General features: G+C 33.6%; 1 protein-coding gene across 3 annotated transcripts in view; it reads left to right on the top strand.

Moving 5' to 3' along the window:
- Positions 1 to 22,563, top strand: part of TRDN (triadin) — a 420,612-nt gene that overhangs the window by 237,185 nt on the left and 160,864 nt on the right. For all 3 annotated transcript variants that reach the window (NM_006073.4, NM_001407315.1, NM_001251987.2), the window contains 6 exons: positions 6,089 to 6,142; positions 11,215 to 11,244; positions 17,619 to 17,648; positions 18,376 to 18,396; positions 21,868 to 21,900; positions 22,024 to 22,050. In NM_006073.4, the coding sequence (NP_006064.2) occupies positions 6,089 to 6,142; positions 11,215 to 11,244; positions 17,619 to 17,648; positions 18,376 to 18,396; positions 21,868 to 21,900; positions 22,024 to 22,050 (195 nt within the window). The remainder of the gene's footprint in view (positions 1 to 6,088; positions 6,143 to 11,214; positions 11,245 to 17,618; positions 17,649 to 18,375; positions 18,397 to 21,867; positions 21,901 to 22,023; positions 22,051 to 22,563) is intronic.

The raw sequence follows: 22,563 nt of genomic DNA, 5'->3' as shown, positions 1-22,563 counted from the left end.
CAAAAATGATGTAGGCAAATTCTTCTAATACTTTTATCTGTGTTCATAATCACTGATTTTAGAAAGTTGCTATAGAAGGTAGAAAGGAACCTTGAGTGACCAGCTGGTACTGTCTCTTTGCTTTAGGCAAAAACATCTAGGACCCCTCTAAGACAGGTATTTCTTTCTCTGGCATCTCAAGAAATGGGACTTCATATCTTCCATGGTATTGCATTCTGTTGTTTTATTAGATACATGGAATAAACCTTTTCCTTAGTCTAAATGTAATCTGCCCTTAATATGGCAAATATTTTGAAGAGTAAAAGGCCAAATGATCTGTATCTTGCACATAACTTTCCTTTATGTTAAAAAAAGTTTCTTCTGCTAATCATTTAAATTAATTGATACCTTGGTCTTCAACCCTAAATTGTTGATTACTTAAGAAACTTGTCATTCTCACACATTCTATCCAGACAGCTAGATAATGCCATGAGGGGGAAATGCTCATTATTCTGATTGATGTTTCCCAATCATTTTCTGTTTTCCTATGCTTAATTTTTGGAAAAAGCTGATTTTATGTGTAACATCTATAGGTAGATTTTGACCTACATGTAGTAAAAGCATCCAAATTCTTTCTTTTTTCAAATTAAGAAATACTTAGATGAGTTAAATGGAAGCGATAGTCTTTTTTAGATTAAAATATAGATTATTTTAGTAGCCGTGAAATAATCAAATTTTTTCTGAATTAAACACTATAATGCTAAGTTATTAAGGTAAAAGCTACTTAGATTCCAAAACAAAAATACATGGCTTGATGAGGTGAAGATTTTCTGGGGGAAAAAATCTAGCAAAATTATGTTAACTATTGTAAATCATTTTGCCAACTTATTTAGATTTTTAACCTCTAGCAATAACAGATTATTTTGATACATTATTCATATTTCTGCATTGTGCACCTTTTGCAATTTGCATATCTGGCTGCAAATAGGCCCTTCTTTCAGGCTTCAGTCCCCTTGGTCACACAGGATGGCCAAAGGCTGCTTCATGATTAATTTCATCTCAATAGGGTAATTATCATACTGAAATGAAGCAATGCCCATGAAATATGCTTTCCTGGAGTTATAAGTACAAGAGGCTTAGCCTAGAGCTTTCAAGTATGTAGCAACTTTTAGCTTAAATGTTAACCTTTCTCTATTTTGGTACTATCTATATCTAAAAATAATACTGGATTTTATAAGAATAGAAAACAATAACTTAGAATTTGATTTAGCAGCTCTTTGGACTGCAAGATAATTTGTCATTAGTTTCCACTATCTTATGCAAAAAATAAAGGATGTATATATTTTGAGGGGTCAAGGTTTTATAATGCTGGGTCAAATTTTAGCTGCTGAATTAATAAACATGAATTTAACTCCTGATCTGTGGAAAAGCCATTCAACTTTTCTATATTTAGTTTTCTTACCTAAGAAAATAAGAACGGTCGGCCAGGCACGGTGGCTCACACCTGTAATCCTAGCACTTTGGGAGGCCGAGGCAGGTGAATCACGAGGTCAGCAGTTCGAGACCAGCCTGACCAACATGGTGAAACCCTGACTTTACTGAAAATAGAAAAAAATTAGCTGGGCGCAGTGGCGGACGCCTGTAATCCCGGCTACTCAGGAGGCTGAGGCAGGAGAATTGCCTGAACTCCGGAGGCGGAGGTTGCAGTGAGCCAAGATCGTGCCACTGCACGCCAGCCTGGGCGACGGAGTGAGACACCATTTCAAAAAGAAATAAAAGAAAATAAGAACAGTCTAAGTTCCTTGTAATATTGATGAAGTAGCAAGAGACAGCTTTAAAGCTGTTTTCATTTCTTTGGAAGATTAATAAAATAAATTTGATTCATAATTTGAATCCTGAAAAAATGTTTATCTCAAACATGCTCTTAAGTAGAATTCCAATATTTTCATTTTTTGTTGTTTGTTTCTCCTCCTATTCTTTTAACAAAATCCATGCAAATTAATTAAAAATTTGCAAATTTGTCTAAATTAGTTAATTTTACAAAATTCCCAATTGCAATGTGGGTTACCATATATTCTACTAAAAATCTAGTTCTAAAATTTAGAGTTAATACACTTTCTGAATAACACATAATCAGTGATCAAAGAGAAAAAGAGATTTTGCGTCATCTTAAAAGTGAAATAGATCCCTGAGCTTAATGTTCCATTTCAAAGCAGTCAATTGGATTTTTTTTCATTTTTATAGTTAGATATTCTGTGCCATTTCTTACTGTTTCATAGAGACAATTTTTCCAGCAGTTTGTTGGGTCTGGAGTTATAAAGTTGAATAAGTGACAATCAATCAGTGATCTCAGAGAATTTATAGGGTAGTAGGAAGGGAAGTTGTACGAGTAAATAATTATATGATTTCACATTGAAATGGAAATCTGTACTGTGGAGGTCAGTGGGCTGGGTATTGTCAATAACCAGGATAAAGTCTGTGTGGTAGGAGCCCACTACCTGCTTTACCATCTGCTGCTACTCATTCTCCTGCCCCTGTCAGTTCCTCTCTCTAATGGCCAGCCACTTCACTGCAGATGGGGGGAGTCTTTCTTATTTATTTTGTTGTTACTATAAGTAAGAGACTTACATGTTATTCAGGTATTTGAATAACATTGTTTATTGTCTCTTTTGAAGTAATAATTGATCTCTACCAACTTATTCTAAAATTAAAACATAATAAATACACTGTTTTTTTTTTCAGAGATGGGAGAATGCTCAAAAACATGTAAGATGTGGGTAGGTTTCTCAGCAATACTATTATTCTTTACCTGCTGTCCATTAGCCAAAGACCAATTCTGGCTGCTGACAGTGTAGCAGTCCATTTGCCACTAAAGTTATGTGAAACCTATTTTTGAAAATGTAATGGATTTGCACTTTACATTAAATGAAGTCAAAATATAAACAGTGTCCTAGAAATGAAAAGTTAATCGTATTAAACTAATATTTAAATCTCTGTGCAAAAATTGGCTCTTTAACAAAATGTTTGCAGACTAATGATATCTTTTCAGTTTTGTAAATCAGGTTGTTCCATATCTGTGGAATCAGAAGACATTGAAACATTTGGCTCATCTGATTCATGACAATTTGTTTATATAAATACCGCATGTTTCAGGGATCTACAAATACTAACTTCTCTGATAATTTCCTGAAAAAACACCCCCAAGTGAATTATGCTGACATTTTAATCTAGGTCCATCCTGTCTCTGATTTAAAAGTCCAAAATACTATTTATCAATTTCAGAATTACTATAATCTTTAGTTGAATATTGTTATGGTCATCTGTTTTTTATTTAAGTCATTGTACTTTATTTCCAAAAACACAGCTATAAACAAAACTATGACAAGATAAAATCATTTGATATGATGAAATTTTCATTAGAATATGTGTAGTGGAGGCAGTACAGATGAAATACTGTAGTAGGTGTTGGAAACGGTGGGCTCATTATCCTGTCTTTTTTATTTTTGTATAGGTTTAGAATTTTCCCTAACAAAAATGTAGTTTCTTTTGTAGTTGGCAGAAATCAAAAGGAGACAGAAAAATTATTTATAATGAAAATTTGTCTGTCTGGATTAATGTGTTTTCAGTAGTACAATATTTGGTGCAGCCTTCTTGTGTTGTACATGTATGGACTCAGGGTCGATTCCTCCCCTAATGTCATGCAATTTTGAAAATGGAAATGCTGTGCAAGAGCAGATGTCAAATCTGATCTTCTTTGCATGTGTCCTCAATAGTTTCAAGGATGATATTTTTGTTGGTTGGATGCAAGCTGGCAGACTTACTGAAAAGGCATTTGGTTTTAAACTGTTAATTTCTATTGAGATGTAGATCATGTAGTAGTTTGTGAACTAATATTTTAGACGGGTGAAAACGCAATTGAGGTTCGTGCAACTGCAATTGCATTTGCACCAACCTCATAAATGAACTTTAAAGCTTAAAATCAGAGAAGGAATAGATGGAGTTATGAGGGACAAACATGATACTGCTATGATCCCGAGATTTTCCTCCATTGAAATCTTTCTTTTGCAGGTAGACATTGTAGAATGACCTCTTTAAAATACACTTTTACCTGGAAACAGTATCTTCAATGCATCAGTGTGCATTTGTGGACTGTTTTCTTTGGCATGTGTTGGACGCGGGACAATGAGGGGCAGGGAAGGCTTAGGGAGGGAACTAAGTCTTAGTAGAAAGAAGAGCCCATAGATAAGGAACCCTAAAACATGCCCAATCTATGTGCACACAGCCCAACCCAGGACAGGCTAAGGTTATTAAAGAGGTAAACCCCATTGAGAGATGACCAGCCTGTTGGGACACTCAAATGGGAAAACTCAGCACTCAGGGGCATGTTTCTGAACCTGACCGCTGAGGGAGAAAGCAGCTGACAGAGAAACCAAACAGTCTGTGGGAGAAGTGATAAGGCCCTAGGAAAAGCACTACATAATTTGCAGGTGTGTGTGACCTCCGTGCTCTAATAGAATCTTAGGTGTGATGAGGTTGTTTAGGATCAGTGATTTAAGAGGATATAAAGAAAAAGGAGAAGATAAGAGGAAAATTGGCTGCAAATTTTTGCAAATATTTCTACAAATTCTAAGGTACTTTACATACTGATATTTTAAAATCTTTTTCTTTAAAATTTAATTACAAATTGCAGTATAATTTTCTAATATTTTGAGATCTCCAAGAAGTAAAACATCTGAGCAGAATGGTGCTCATTTGTTGAAATTTTTGGGCATATTATTTTCTTCTTTTCTTCCATTTGTTTTAGTCAACAATTATTTAATACTTGTCTACTAAATGTCAGTTATATATAATTACTAATTGAGACCATTTAGTCTAGGTTTGACAAAGATGGTACTAGCATGCATGCAGTTTTCCTCCAGAAAAAAAATTAATTATGTAAATATCAAGGGTAGACTGAATTCAGTTTTGGCAAAAGATATTTTCTCTGAATAAATAGCTATAGTAATTAGAATTATTTATGAATCAAGTAATATTTATTTTATGTAACAACAAATAAAATTAGCATTTTTATAATCATGTTTATATATAAATGAATAATTATCTTACCAACAAGAGGTAAAGCATGAATTAGAAATCAAATCAACATTAAACAAGTTATAATCAACATTTGACAATAATTAAATGAAAGATTGAATATATATGTGAATCAACTACTACATATCCACCTAACTTCGTGTCCACACATAATTATTGCTAAACATGTGATGGATGAATGAATGAAAGTGAATATCTAAAACAAATGACCCAATCTTACTTTCCATTATTAAATAATAATTCAATAATTGAAAACAGTAAAGACAATCAGAAACCATACTAAGTCAAATGTGAAGTGAGCCGTTATTTTTTGAAATTTTTATTTACCCATTATTTCCCATTCTGATTAAGTATATTTAAATGTTTATCATATAAGTTTTTTTTTAATAAATCCTTTTTCTTTAAAGGAAAAATTCTGAACAAAGGAGAAAAACATAGCAAAAAAAACTTAGAACAAGAGGGAAGAAAGATTCATAATGAAGCTTGCTCATTCTCTCGGATATATTTTGCCCAGGGCCACACTAATAGTGATTGGTGCCACTGCAGTTTAGGGAAGGGCATTTTAGAGTCAAAGGCTTGAACTTGGGATTGGTTGTTTCAGGCTTTATTCTCACATTAGTCACTAAGGGACCTTCAGTAAGTCATCTTATTTGGTTCTACATGTGCCATCGATTTCAAAGGGCTGATAATACAGACATAATTTAAATAGAATTCTGAGATTTTCAAATTCAGATGCTCAACAAATGCAAAGTGATATTCCATGGCCAGTTAACAGTGAGGCAAAACAGTGTTTGGAATCTTTATCTTATGATTTAAATTGCTTCAGTCATGTTTTTCTTTCAGTAAGCTCCATTCTCAGCAATTCCTCTAATAAGTTTATGTCTTAACAAAAATTCTTCGTGTCAAAAGCAACACTTTTTATGCTCGTTTGTGTTTGTGCTCCCCTGTCCCTTTTTTATTTATATATTTTTCCAAAATCATACTTCATGGTAATTTATGTTTTTTTCATTCCAAGAGCCGGGAAAAGCTTCTGAAACCAAACAAGGGACTGTAAAAATTGCAGCACAAGGTAAGCAATAAAACACTTTAAAAAGCATTGCCTTTTTTTAAACATCTATAGCACTTTATTGACAAAAGCAAAAGCTGTTTATTGCAGAATAGCACCATCTGCTGGGATATTGCAAAAAAAATATTGTTGAATGAAAATACACAGTTCAAGTATTTATTTAGTAATTGGAGCAAGCATGACTGAGAGTAATGCCAAATTTGCAGAGGAACTGCTGAAGGACCCAAGAACTAGTCTTGGCTCCAAGTTTCAGTATTTGAGCTTTATGTATATTTTTAAAAATAATCCATTGATGTGCATAAAGAAATACAAATACAGATATAAAATAATGTACACTTTTCTATAATTTTCAGTATACCTTGTAATTTATGTTACATGAGAAGATCAGAATGTTATTAAAGCAATATTACTTCATAAACATCAAAACTGTAAAAATGGGGTTCCAGATATGGCTACAAAATAATTATCCTATTTTTATGAGCCATCTAAGAAAATTAATTTCACCATTTACAAATATCTTCAGGATAACTAAAGTGGTTTCGTCTCACACCATGAGGATTAATTTGATGAAAGCATGAGGGAAGGGTTCAAGTGTTCTGCCTTTGTTATGTGGCAAAACTTTATGGAACACACTTAGAAAATAAAAGATACAATGTTTACTGGAGAAGATCTTTATCATCTCTTCTATGCTAGATTATATAATATCAAGCAATAAAGGAGATGCACATAGGTGGTGGTACAATTTTCAGGGGTAGAAGGCTCTCATAGCAGACTTCTTAGCACATCACATGATGTATGACCGAATGTATTACATCTGAGCAAAATTTTTCTCTTGTATTTAATCTTGGACCCAGCAACATGCAGAATCACCCCCGAAAATATTGGTAACATGGGTTTGTTAAATGCCATTTGACTCGAGGATGTTGTCTGTGAGCAAAATAAGCTAGAATGATTAAAAGCTATGATACCAGTTTTTAGTTTTCACATTGAAAAACTTGTTTTTCTTTAGGAAAGTTCTGATAGGGAATATAGTAAATATTATGAACGATAGAAAGGCAGGACAAATATTATTACCTTTGGTTTTTTAATACATGAAAATGCAGGTCAGGGTGAGTTCCTCAAGCCAATGACTACCAGTTTAAGAAATCATTGCTATTAGTGTATATATGTTTTCATAGAAAACCACAATCACCTTAGGCTCATTCTGTTTGACTGAGACTTCTGAGGACCATAGTGTAGATGTGGAACTACGACTTGAGGCAAGAATTTTGTGTTAGTTACTTCAGCCTCATGTTAGAGGCATTCATGAGGAGGAAAATGAAGAGATATCTGAAAATTTGATTCATATTTGAGCTTGAGGCCATGGGCTCTTTAAACTACATTTAACCATTCAAGATTTAAACTACATTGGACAAGTCAACCTTAGAGCTTATCATTTTGGAATAAAATATTTATTTTTGAGGAAATAGTAACCAAGAGTTTCAAAGTCTTGTTAGAATTATCCTTGGAAGGAAATTGGATGAAAAGATTGATGAAGCACAGTGAACAAGGCAAGAGTGAGGTATTCTGTGTATGCGTTTACTAAAATAAAAATGACACACCAATGCAGGGACACATCAAAGCAGAACTGCATATCATTCGCGTCTTTGCAAATCCTCCATAGATCTTTCTTAGATATGTTTATTTTAATGCCATAGGCATATAATTAAATTATGCATATAAATAATTAATATTTGCAAGTACTTCACGTGGAGACAAAACTTAAAATTGGCAATAATCCTATAGTAGACTGATTTTTTGAAGTATAAAGTGACAAAATTGATCATGATCTTTGTGGCATGGTAAAAGGCTAGATTAGATCTGTTCATTTATTTATTTTTAACTTTTACAACAAAGGACATATTAAAAATCTGGCTTTCCATACATATGTATGTATATATGTTCATATTTATTTATAACTATTATTAAGATTTAGCATATATTCTTTGGAATTTTAAAATAATTTAAGGAAATTATTTTAACAAAGTTTTGAGACACTGAGGAGGCAACAAAATAAATATCTCACTACTACAGGAAATTCCAATTTGGAGATCTAAGAAATTTAGGTAGATATAAGGAATGGCTTTTGTTTCTATTAAGACATGAGACAATAACCTCAACTAGGATGGTGGCAATGACATAAGAAAAAAAGCACAAATGTCATTAACATTTTGAAGAACTAATATCTGATAGAGTATATCAAAAGAAACAAAGGAAAGAATAAAAATGATACTGAGCTTTGGAAACTGGGTAATTAGGAGATGGTAATTGTTAAAAATATTAAGTTTCAGGGGAAGAAACTAGCTGAAGGGAAAAAACTAGCTGAAGGGAAAAGATGATTCATTCTTCAGTGGATGAATGTTGAGCAAAAGTAAAATAATTGGACAATAATTTTTTTGGAGCCAATTAGAATTTAGATGGGGGATCAATCTAGTTCACAGGTATTACATAAAAAATTGTTGGAAGAAATTGATATAGACCCAAATTGGAAAGGAAGGAGAGAGATGGGGAATTATTTTTTTAATCAGTTAGGTGCAATGATGAGGTAGACACCTAGTGATATTAAAATGCCAAAGAGAGAACACATGCCGTAATGGAACTCGGCTTAAAAGATGGGGTATGTGCACTCTGTGTTAGTGTATTTCCACTGGCTTTTTTCTTCTGGATTCCTGAAGCAAACATTAAGAATCTCCTGGATACTATAGGAAGAACACAGAAAGAGAACAACATCAACAAAACTAGAATGTTAGCCATTCCAGTCTTTTTACAATGTGAAAACCAAAAACCCAGTTATTGAGAACCATGTCTACTCAGTAAATTCAGGAGTCATCCAATCCCATAACAGAGTTAAGTAGATTAGAACCAGGCAAGCTGAATTTGAGGACCAGAAGTAGGACACGTGGAACACAAGCTACAAAACCGTTCTAGAAACAATTGAATCCCGAGACCCTGGCTTTGATTAGCTTGTGGGCCTGGAATCCAGCTTGGTAGATAACATGGCTTTCCAGTTGGCAATAAATAAAAGCCATGCACCTTCAAGGGATCCAGGGCAACAACAGAAACCAGAATCAGTTATGATGGAATAGGTCAAATTCCTTCATTCAACTATCTCCATTGTCGCTGAAAACTGGAAACTGAAACTATCAAATATATAAGAATGGGAAAAAAGAAGATACATGTGCATACATGCATGCTTGCATCTCTATATGCATATGTACAGATTGTTTTTCATGTATTATTTTAGAAATCCAAAAATTTGTTGTAATTTAACAAGATTTTACTAATCTTGAAGGAATTTAAGTTTCAGAGGCTTTCTTGTCTGTAGAATTTGTAAGAAACTACAGTTTTGCTAAATGTATTCACATTCTGAGCCCTCTTTTTGGCGTTGGTCAAGGCCTTTGTCAGGTTGCCCTTTAGATGTGTGTTTATGGTTAAATTGATGAAGTTTAGCGTTCAGAGCAATTCATTGACCAGAGCTCCTTCGAGGGGGTAATTTTATGTTGTTTCATTTTGTCTTTCTTTAGAGAGTTCCCCATACCCATCCATCCAAATCATGATTGGATGATTTTGAAAATTGTAAAATTTTTTGAAGGAAATTCTTATTTTCAATGTAAAGAATCAACAACAAAGTCTGTTGAGTCAAACTCAGAGACTTACTAAAATTAAACCTCATGGCTTTGAAATTCATCAGGCCATGTCCATATCATTTAATTCATTTTCGGTGTTATCTTTGTTTTTATCCTTATTATATCATTGGAATAAACAATTTCTTAACTTAAAAACATTGTAAATATAAATCTGCTATACATTTTGTGTATTATTAGTTAAAACCACATCAAAAAGAAACAAATGTCCCAAAGTAGAATTAACTTATTTGTAAATTCACTTTTCTACTACAAAAGTAATAGCACGTCAATAACATTTAGAAAATAGAGAAAAATAACCTGTGGTAAATTAAAATACATTTTCTTCCTGTCTTTTATTCCTGATTTTTAGAGCCAATTCTGCTGCTTATACTCTGCAAATTATTTTAATGTTTCAGAGGCTTCATTTTCTGCTCTGGGCTGCCTTTTATAACAAGGTCAGGATGAAGACCCAATAAGAGGATGTACCTGAAAGAGCTTTGGCAATTGTAGCACAGAGCAAATGTCCATAGCAGTTGTTTCTAAGTGTTTTCTAAGTGTTGTTTCTAAGTGATCCCCAACATTCTATCCCGCTGAGGTGAGATTACCATACTGGAATATGCACAATCTCAAATTCAACTAATGTGGCCTAAGATACCCCTGAATGATTTTGGCTCCTGGATAAACATTACACAGAACCAGGGGTCATATTGCTTGGAGCAATTCTAAGCCTGTTGAGCACCTCTCCCAAATATTTCTGGTAATACCCATAAGCAACAACGTGGATCCAGATTTAGATTCATGGTCCAGAATTGGATAAATATCAGCACAGAGGAAGCCAGAATTCAAAGGTGATTAAAGTGTTCTGTACCTTTTTCTCTATGTAAAAGAAGGCATAAGTTTGCTAAAAGGAGGGTAGGATATTTATTTTCCCTTCCTGAAATTGGGCATTTTATACATGGTTATTATAAGTGCAAATGTAGACTGCAGACTAGTATATAATTCCTCAGTAGCTAAGCATAGATAATTTTTGGAATATCACTTCCACTTTTTTTGATTAATCCAGTCACAGCCTATATTTTACGACCTTCTAGAAGAGATTGTGGTTTCCTCAGATATAAAATTTAAAATCTAAAATGAATTTACACTAAGCATATACATATAAATTTGACTTCTTGTCTACGTAACTCCATATATTTTTTTCTTCTTTTGCTAATGCTTATTTCTGAGTTTACAAATATCTTTATATGAAGTAATATTTTCTGCTTACACTCCTATCATAGATTTGGATGAATTGATTAGTGTATAGGTGACCACTGAATTTATGAATATGTGGAATACATTCTCATATTCTGGGGAGTATTCTGAGGAATGGTCATTTCATATGCCTTAACGCTATTTTCATTACTTCAGCAGCAGCTAAGAAGGATGAAAAGAAGGAAGGTATGTTTTATGCAAAATCCCACTGAGCCTTTTGTGAGTACAATTTACCAATATCCTGAGTTGGGTTTTGACTGCTATTCTGTCTATATTCCCCTTGGATAACTGGATCTATTATGTGCATACATTTTGCATGAATGTGCTTTTTCTACTTCACCTCACACAGAAGGGTGAGCTACTTTTTGAAAGTAATTTTAATCTAGTCTTTCTCAAGATATAAGGAATAAAACATAGCTTCTCAAAATCCTAGGGCTCCTACTCTGTTGACAGTTTTATCAAATTTCAGAACTATGTAAAATACAGACTCATTCTCATCGGCATTCAAATCAAAGTCTTCTAAGCCTTTGGGGTATATAAAACAGTAGTCAAGTTTCAATTTCACAGCTTTAAGCTTTTTATCTGTTTTTTTTTTTCTCCCATTGCTCTGCCTCTCGGATTTTTTTGTTCTATTTTTTCTGGCTTATATACCGCTTTTCATTTTTTCTCCTTTTGAAACATTGTCCATAATCAATATGCAATATTGGAGGAGCTTGGGATGAGCTGTGCTTTTGTAGATTCAAGAGATCCAGTGTCCATGACCAGCTAAAAAACATATAAAACACTCCTTGTAGGCAGCAAGACTGAAATATTGGTATCAGCTTCAACCCCATTTTTTTCTTTTTCCCCTGACATTTAGTCCTCCAGAATTTTCACTTTTCCTGAGCTATCCTTTTGTTTAATTCTTCCTATAATAATTAGAACAACTAATCATCATTCACAGGATCCAGTTCTTTATTTGTGATCTCACATTGCCATTTGTGACCTCATGTTGGTCTTACTAACTTCTCATGTAAACTAGATCAATAATCTCCAAAATCAGTGGTCAAGGACTCCTGTGGGTCTCTGAGATCTTTTCAGTGGTTCTATAAGGTTAAAATTATTTTTATAAATGATAGGAAGTTTTCATTTGCCTTTCTCACTGTCGTTCTCACTTGAGTGAGACTTCTAGAGGATAAACAATGGTAATAATACAACACAGTAAACGCCCAAGCAGATGTGCAAATCCTATTGCTTTCTCATTAAACCAGACATTAATAATAGTCACAAAAGTAATAAAAAAGTCACTCATTTCACCATATTTTTGTATTGGGAAGTGTATCGATCATAAAAATATGTTATTTATGTTAACATTTAATAGGTTTATTATTTTTAATAAATGCATAAATAATACCATATTTTAAAAATTTCCTCAGCTTTAATTTTTTTAAAATGATAAGCATCAATAGAAAGAAGCTACGTAAATAAAAGCTGTTTGGGAGTTTTAATAGTTAAGATTTTAAAGGAGTCCTGAGGTGAAAATGAAAAACTTTGACAAAAATAATTAATTTGCCTCTAATATTACCTCTTTCCAAAATAGTCAACAGATTTCATTCAACTTTTCATGTCATAACCTATTTAAAATATTGAGTGGCTTTACAATGACTCTGTAGAGTACACTGAATGTACTCTACAAGTGTTAACCTTCAATTAAAGTTTTTAAATTCTTTTTCTGAATCGTCTTTCCTAACTGCCTATTAAGCGTACATCAAGGCAAGGTCATGACCAAGGCCTAAACAATTCCAACAGTAAAGATGCAATGATCCCTTTTTGAGATTGAGACAATTTATTACTTTCATAGCAAATGTAAGAGTAGCCAGAGGTTCCAGCTCTCCAAGGTTGTTGCCCCACACACCAAAAAGGATGAAGCCCAAACAAAAGGGGCCAGATAATGCAACACAAGTTGGGGACACGTCATTGCTGAGGAGCTAATCCAGACTACAGCAAAATGATTTTGTGGTCTGCAGCTCCATTCCAGGCAGCTTTAGGCGGAATCAGGAGGTGATGAGAAGCTGCCTCTTGACATCCTCCTGGGAGAGATAGGGAGCCATGTGGGAGGTGGTCTCACAGCAGGTCTTTACAAGCCTCCCGTCTTTCTGTGTTCTGGGAGAATCACAAAGCATCCTACCAAAACTTAAATTAACTGTGGTTCAAAACTTTACCTGCATGGCCTGTATGGATATGTGCAAAGTTGCCAGGACATCATGGTGAGCTGTTATCTGATATTCTCACCCAGTTCTTCCTTTATCATCTTCATCTGTACCAAGTCATTCTCTATTTTACATATACAATGTGGCATCTTGCCTTTGTTCTTGCTGTTATCCTAACAGAGCTTATCCTTTTTCCTTCTATGAACATTCATACATTTTCCTGTCTCTGAGAAGTTGGTCTGATACTACCAATTAAAAATACTTTCCTGCATGTATAATCTTCCATTTGTATCTCTCTACTATTATTTATTTCTTGCCACCTTGTACTTCATGTTACTTGTGTTTATTTTCCTATTACTCTAATTGACTTAAGCCTTTTGTCTTAAGGGACCATGTCCAATTAACTTTTATCCCTTATGGAGGATGAGCACATTTCCTTGGTTTGCACATTTCTGAACAAATATATATTCTATGCACGCACCAGTAATATTCAGGACTCAAGATAAATATAATACCCAGAAGAAATATGAATAGGTACCTGTTTTCTCACACCACAGGCAAGGAATGATTTTTTTTTAACTACTAGGAGGTATATTCCAGTGAGCTTTTTAGGTTTGGGAAGTTATAATCAGCTATTGACTGTCCTTCTTAGGTGTGTGTAATCACTAGCTGCTCCTTGAATTCTACGAGCAGATCCAGGTAGATTTTATTCATCTAAACTCAGATTGAGTGATGAATTCCTAGCAACCGGAATTCTAGGAATTCCAGGTTATCTTCTGAAAGATAGAAATCCACTGAGAACCAGCCATATGAGATTTATTTTTTACTATAAATAGAGAAAATAGAGCTGAATACATGTGAGAATTAGTCGCTAGTTCTATGGCTTCCAGATTCAGACCCGAAGATAAATCATGCTGAAAAACAAAGCAAAATTCCTAGTATTATAGTTGACTAAAGTTGTCAATCAGGCAGGTTCCACAAAGGAGATAGGATACTTCAGTACTAGCACTAGTAGGCTATCAGAAAATTAACTTTTCCCTTCAATATAAATTGGTATTTCATTTTCTTTCTGTTTTTTTTTTTCTTTTTTTTTTTGAGATGGAGTCTCGCTCTGTCGCCCAGGCTGGAGTGGGCACAATCTCTGCTCACTGCGAGCTCCACCTCCCGGGTTCATGCCACTCTCCTGCCTCAGTCTCCCGAGTAGTTGGTACTACAGGCGGCTGCTACCACACCCGGCTAATTTTTTTGTATTTTTAGTAGAGACGGGGTTTCACAGTGTTAGCCAGGATGGTCTCGATCTCCTGACCTAGTGATCCGCACTCCTCAGCCTACCAAAGTGCTGGGATTACAGGCATGAGCCACCGCGCCCAGCTGGTATTTCATTTTCATCTGGCATCACTTATGAACATAATAGGCCTTACTTGAGACACTGCTACAGATGAGTGAATGACGGATTGAACAGATGGCAAACACATCACTGCTTTTAAATCACAGGTGCTGGGAGCCTCAATGTTCTTAAAAGACTACTGCCCAGATTATTGGGCAGGGAAGTATATTGACCAAGTAAGCCTTTGTAATGTTTTAAGCTGTTTGAGCCAAGAATGCTGAAAGGGCATAATGAAGTTTAATAGCATGAATATTACCAGCTAGTATTAATAGCTCTTCAGGGTCAGTATGTGATCTTTGGACTCCAAGCACTATATTTTTAAGTTCCTCTATTACTTTAGTTCTACATTTCTGTTGCACTATTGACTCCAAAAGAAAATACATAACTTTATCATGACATTTTGAGTTTCATTTGCCTGACCCTGGACTTCATATCGTGTTTTATTCTTTCATTTTAATACAATTGATATCTGATAAAATATATTATTGATTCTTATTATTAGGAAATAGAAAGGCAGATTAAAATTTTAGATATTCTATAGTTACATTTATTATATTGAACTTTCTGTACATATTCCATTCCAGTATCTGGTCAGAGAATATAGGGATTGGAAATAATCTTGTTCTAATATGCCATGTTTCATCTTCTCTGTGTTCCCACATTTCCCCCAAACTTTAGGTTGAATTTATTCCTACATGACCATGTTCTCTTCATAATCCTCCTGTGCTTTTCCTGTTGGCTGTATTCTGGACTCAAGAGATTGTTCAGTGAGGAACACAGAACTGCTTGGGCAGGCAGAAATCCTATTTCAGTATAGTGGAGTCAAACTAACTGACAACTTAAAACGGACATTGAACTATCAAGTTCATACCTTAAGCTGTTGTGTTATAAGATTCTTATGTTTCAAGTAGAAGTGGCCACTGCATATTGTTAATATAAAACTGTATTATGTCATATTTTTTCTGTGTATTTGAATTGCTTGCTTATCCAATTAAAATAATTATTCAGGAAGAAAATGAATAGGAAAATGTTTGCAAAGCACATATGTTTCAGATAGCAAATGTAGCCTACTAATTTAAAATTCCTGATGACAAACTAAATAGCAAGAATATTTTTCACATTGGTTTTCAGAGCTGGGGTTAATTAAGAAAAATCTATTCTAAAATTATTTTCATTGTAGTGTGCTGGACACAACAGTGTTTAACAAATGATGACTAAGCAAATGTTTTGTCTCAGGAATCGATTATTTTTTAAAATCAAGAGTTTTTTCCCCTTACAAATAAAACATATTCGTGTTACAGAAAAATTTGAAATTCAGAAAGAGAGGTAATAAAATCTTGCCTAATTATTTAATCTGTCCACAACTACCATTAGTATGTTGGCATATTTTCTTCTAATCTTTCTTCATACACACTCACATGCACACATAAAGTCATTTTATATTATGTTTTTATTTTTATTTTGCATTATTTAATTTATCTTATTTAGTTAATATTTTCCACATTGTGGCATAATTAGCAAAACATCATTTGAATAATTGTGTATTTTTCTATTGTATGAATATACCACAAATTCATCAACACTCTCTTATTGTTCAGAGGGTAGTGTTTAATATGCCCATTACTGAGAGACACAAAGCAATATCCTGAGAAAAGCATTTCCCTAAATATTTATTTTTATGATAATATTGCTTTTTTTCTCTATGGATTTCTAGAAATGGAATTACCACATCAAAAAGCATGTTAATTTTTATGATTTTCTGGATTCTTTTCTTAGTTTGTTTCCTAAAATATGTTTCTAGCTTATACATCTACGGAAGTGGGACATTACCTTCACCACAATGTTACTGGCACTGATTATTATTGTTACATAAAACAATTTTGTTGACCATCTAACTGCCTTTTGTGAAGAGACAATGAGTCCATTGTCATATCCAAACATTTTAGTTCCCTTTCTTCATCATGGAAGTGAAGTCGTGATACCACCACACCTCTGTAAGGCACAGAAATCCATTAACTTGCAAACTATTAGTGAATGTCTACTGTTCTAGGTTCCAAGCCAGATAATTATAAGCCAGAAAACAATTTAGCTACCTTTTGCAGGTATCAATTCATAGTTCATTATTATGATTCTAATTTCAGTAATAGAGAATTTAAAAGTTCTTACAGAAACAGTAAAAGGACAAAGAAGATTAAAAAATAAAATATTCTAAGCAAAAATTCAAGCTCAGGTGCTTCAATCTTAAAACAAATGAGCTTAAAAACCTCTTGTTTTCATTTTCAAGTGGTGGGAGCAGAAAGTTTCATGGCCTAAATAATAGAAAATAATAAATTTATCAGATCTAGGCTGAATGCCCGTCTACTATAAATGAAATCGATGTCTTTTGACCACGAAATAGACATTACTACATAACAGTTATAAATATAGTGATGTATTCATCAGTAACCCATGAGTCAACAGTAATCTATTTCTTTTCCATTACCATAAGAATGTCTGAATATCTATATTGGAAGTGTATTGATTATTCAAAGACAGTGCAACATAATTCACCTGGACTGACTTAGATTGAACAAATGAAAGTTTCAAGTTAACTTCATGAACTCCTAAGCATCTTTATGGAAACAGAGCATATATTTACTCAGTTTGATGTTCTATTAACAGGTTACTAACTTACATAGGCAAAACAAAATTTCTTTATAAATTATATGTGGGTATATTTTCCTTTATATTTTTCAATGTTTTATATTCTTTATAAAATATTATTAATATAAGATATTTTATAAAGAGTTTCTCACTCCTGCTTCACTCTAATACTTATTCCCACAAAACAGAACAGTTTCTAAGTCTCATATTCTAGAAATATACAAATGATCAATTTGTTGAATAATCAATTTTATTTGATTGTTTATAGAAATTTGTTGTGAGCTGATCAGCTGTTGATTTATTGTATCTGTTTTATTAATAATTTATCTTTGTGTTTTCAGATTCCAAGAAAACAAAAAAACCTGCAGAAGGTACTGGACATATTTCTTTTTTTCTGCCTTATGTTTGATGAACCATGAAACAGCATACCTTCTTAAAGGATTGATGTAGAAGAAAGAATTATGTGTGGGATAGAGGAGAAGAAAAAATGATTGAGATTGAGAGAGAGAGAGAGAGAGAGAGAGAGAGAGAGCGCCAAATCTATTCTGACAATACTGCTATGAGAAGTATTTCGCAGTAATGGAAATAAATACTGCATATCCTTTCACAGTAATTGTTTCCAAAGAAATGTTTACTTAACAAGAAATTGAAAAATTTTCAGTATCAAACATTTATTTTACTAGAAAGCACACACTAAATTACTTTTTGATAGACTGGCATCAATTAGGAACTGATTTCTTCCTTTCGGTCTTGAATAATTCATTTGGCAAGTATACCTGTGCCTCCTAGACTTGTTCACATGTGTTTTTATGTGTTTAAGAGACTATTACATATCAGGTGTAAATAATTTAAAATGGTTAAACAGTATAATCCTGGGTTAATTTATTGTCAAATAATATTTGCCAATCAAATTATGGAAGCACCTACAGTAATTAACAATACCTCAGAGCCTCACTGTGAAATTTCACCTCATTGTGAAATTTAAGGAGAGAAAATTGGAAGGAGGGGTGGGAAAAATTACAGTCTAATCAATATGTAGGGTAGTACGTTTTATCTTTAAAGTTTTAAGAGCAATGATTTTGTTTGTATTTCTTTCAGTAGAACAACCCAAGGGAAAAAGTAAGGAAATGCATGCAGTGTATTTGTGTACTTTTTTTTTTACTACTATTATTTGCCTGCTGCTGTATTTAGACCTGCAATTTTGAATCCGCTTTTCCTATGTTTTATGCATGTGAACTCTGTTGTTTTTTGTCCAAGTGAAAAAATACACAGTCTGGGGGTTAGAGTGGACTGAGAAGCATAGTAATCATTTTTAGAACTCTTTCTCAAGCTCATGCAATCATCTAACAATACTCTTGACGGGCTTGTAATCAAAAGTAAAACTGCATTCCATTAACCCAAACTGACTTATGTTTTTGTAAATTTAGTCCTAATCTGGTTAGTTGTCAGTCCTTTGAAAATTGACTAGAAGTTCTTTTACAGGCTAGTTTTACAACTTTTTTCCTATCTTTCTTTTTGTAATCTGTAGATATTTTGGCATGCCCATGTGATATATGACATTTTTCCCATAACATAATTTCCCCCCTACACTCACTATGAGCTCTGTCTAATAGGGTTGCTATTCAGCCTCATCCACTGTTGCTTTAACACTATTAAGACTGTGTGCTAACAATTCAGTCAAGCTCAATAACTTAATGTATGTCTTTCACAAATATAGGTTCTCCTCTGAAGAAAATAAGATATATTTAACAAAAGAAAGCAAAAAAAAAAAAAACCCTTGAACTTATTCAATACACTATTAAAAATTAGCACATTACCAGCAATATAGATTTTAAGATTCTAGTGATATCAAAAATGTTTTAAAATATATACCAATTAAAATATATTTATGTGTTTTGGCCCTACAAAAAGCAAGGATGCTGAGACATTCAACGTTGTAAAAATGCTCTAAAATGCCCTGTGGAGACACTCGTGAAATTATACTACAACTCAGCCAGGGGGAGCAATCCATCTACAGAGAGTTCTCTCAGTTCCAGATTTACGTGTGTGCAGAGCTACTGATGAGTACTGGCACAGAGATACAGAAAGCACTCTATAAACGCTGCACCAGCAGGAAAATGGAGAACAACTGGAGATTCGAAAAATAGTATTAAAGTACATATAGAGATAGCCTTAAGGCCCTTTATTACAGTTTATAAGATTTAAAAGTTCCTGCACACACTGCAGCTCCTTGGCAATCTTCAGGGCACTGATGCACTTAATAAATAAACATGCCTTTTCACGCATTCATTCACAACCCAACTGTTTCCCTCCTTGAGAAGGTCCTCAGATTGTGACTCGGGCAGCAATAAGGAGAAGAAATAGTTTTCTTCAAAACACCTATCAGTTCTTTTCAAATTCACTCATTTGCTATGGTTTATCATCTAGACTTGCTTTTATTATTGTTAGTGTTGTATCTTTGAATTTCTTTGATTTGGATTTTTTATCTTGAGGGTTGCTTTACTCGATGGTACACCCCAATTTTATATTTTATTTTGCTTCTACTTTTCTAATAATCACAACTTAAAGGTTGTTCACTTTTCAGATATTTTTAATTATGGTTAAGGGAAACAGGATGAAAAGTACAAGAGACCATCCTGTACATTTTGTAAATGTTTGTGAGCTATAATTTTTTTCAAAATAAAAAGTAAAAGAAAGAGACCTCAAAAATCAACCATAAACATGAGTTTGCAGTCCCTGTAGAGTTAAAGGGTAAATCAATGTATATTTACTAAGGTAATTCAATAATTACACCATGAGCTATCCTATATAATGAACAAATTAGCACAGCTATTTTTCAGCTTTCTGATAAGATTGAGGGGACTTTATTTTAACTTTTAATCTTATGTATAGCTGGTATTCGATTCTGATGCATGTCCAAATCTGCTTCCAGTACTTTTTTGACTGTTATCACTGTTTGTGACTGTCATCACAAATTTCTTGGAAATGTTTTATAATTAGAGCTTCAGTTAAGCAATAAATTAAACAATGTATTTAATTGCTCTTCATTTGCCAGACAACATTTGATAATGTTCTCATTTTGTTTAATTTTAGCTAAATCGTCATAGCTTCTTCTTTTTGACCTGCAACACTTGGCCAAGCCATTTGTTTCATTTTTTTGTTTTGCTGCTTAAAGGCTGTCTTAAAAGAGGATAAGTTGCTCATTATACCACACTTATTTAATTAGAAGCCTGACTAACAAAATTGTATACTTGGGAAATTGATGTGATGACCGTAGCATTCTATGACACTCTATATTTTTAAAATATAGTTTGTAGAGTTCTTTCAGTATGAACATATTCTAGTCTTCAAAATCTATTCATTAAATAAAACTTTAAGAATCTTTCCATTCTTCTTTAAAATATCAGATAAAAATGTGGGTATGTTAAAGTATTTCTTGAAAATCTTCTTTTACATTAATTTGACAAGGTTGTCAAGGCAAAATAAATAAGAATAGAAATGTAGATGATAGCACTTCATGTAAAATTAGTGCTTGCAATTCTTATAAAATTAGTACTTATTATAATGTAAATGTCAGCTTAATCTTGAGAACAAAATAATGCTTTGTCTCATACAATATTGACAAAAGTAGATTCCTGAAAAGAAACGCTATATAAAGAGGACTCCAAAAGGAGCATTTGTCCTAAAAGCAAGGCAAATGTTTTACCCTGAAACTTCTTTTTCTATTTTAGTGTCTTAAATATGCCTCACAAAGCCTTTGTCTTAGCTTAACAGCTATTTCTTCCATGTAAGAAGATTCTTAGAAGAGGCAGTCCACGTGAAATGTGCTAATCTTCATCTTTCTGAGAATTATTTTAAAATAACTGCAATAAGCTGCGGTGCTGTGGCTCATGCCTGTAATCCTAGCACTTTGAGAGGCTGAGGTGGGTGGACCTCTTGAGCCCAGAAGTTTGAGACCAGCCTGGGCAACATGGTGAGACTTTGTCTCCACACACACACACACACACACACACACACACACACACACACACACACTACAAATCTGGCTACACATGGTGGTGTGTGCCTGTAATCCCAGCTACCTGGGAGGCCGAGGTTGGAGGATCAATTAAGCCCAGGAAGTGGAGGCTGCAGTGAACTAGAATTATAACACTGCACTACAACTTGGGCAACAGAACAAGACCCTGTCTCAGAAAAACTAAGCAATTTCTTAAAAAGCTGTAATAATTATCTTTTGTACTTACTATTTTGACTCAAATTTATTTCATATTGATCTAATATAATAGCAAATTTAATTTTTTTCACCCTTTATGGATTCTATTTTATTTTTCTGGTTTATCATCTGTAAAAAATTCAAATTCCTCTAATATTCAGAATATTTTGATGCTGCCCCATAAGGAAACTCCCAAGATAAATGGAAAAAAGAATTATTTTAAGTATATAATCTTAGCCTTTTTATGTAAGCCATTATTAGTTGCTGCAATCTGGCATCAGCACATGCATGTTTCTTTGTGTTAAAACAATTAAGTTGGGATTCATAAACTTTAGAATAATAACGATAATAATAATAACAATAATAATATGTTTCAGAACAGGAAAAGAAAGAAAAACATGTGGAACCAGGTAACTGTTTTTAAATTCCTCTGTTCTCACAATTTCATAATATTATTTGATTTGCAATTGAATACTGAATTACAATTGAATGACATAGAATGCTGATTTTTTTTTCTTTCCTTTTTGATACAGCAAAGTCACCAAAGAAAGAACACTCAGGTGAGTAAGACCACTGTTGCTGGATTCCGAATACTCATGTCCAGTGTTTATTAATGCTGTAGCCTCAAACAGGTGGTAAGGCAGCGCCAGTAAAGGGTGGGGAATGCTTCCATCTCACAGTGTTTTTTCCAAGTTCTTGACATGGACATAACATCAATGCAGTTTTAGAAAATGAAAGCCAAATGTTACACTCTTGCTCCTCAATGTGTGTTCTGTGAACTAGCAGCATCAGAATCACCCAAAATGTTATTAGAAATGAAGGATTTTTGGCCCCACTCAAGACCTACTGAATCAGAGTCTGCAACTTCACAAGACCCTCAGTGAATTCATCTGTGCAGTATTTGCGAAGTACTCTTTCACAGTTTAGTGTAAAAGCAAAACAAAACAAGAACAAAACACTTTTTGTAAATGCATTATACATCGCTTTGTTTTTAAAATATGGAATAATCACTTCCAGCAAATATTATCTCCTTATTCATAATCTTACTTAATAACATTTCCTGAGTGCTCAGG

Source organism: Homo sapiens, chromosome 6 (genome assembly GCF_000001405.40).
Source record: "Homo sapiens chromosome 6, GRCh38.p14 Primary Assembly".
In the NCBI taxonomy this organism is placed as follows: domain Eukaryota; kingdom Metazoa; phylum Chordata; class Mammalia; order Primates; family Hominidae; genus Homo; species Homo sapiens.
The sequence above is the reverse complement of the archived record's forward strand: the minus strand, read 5'-3'. Positions and strand labels throughout refer to the sequence as shown.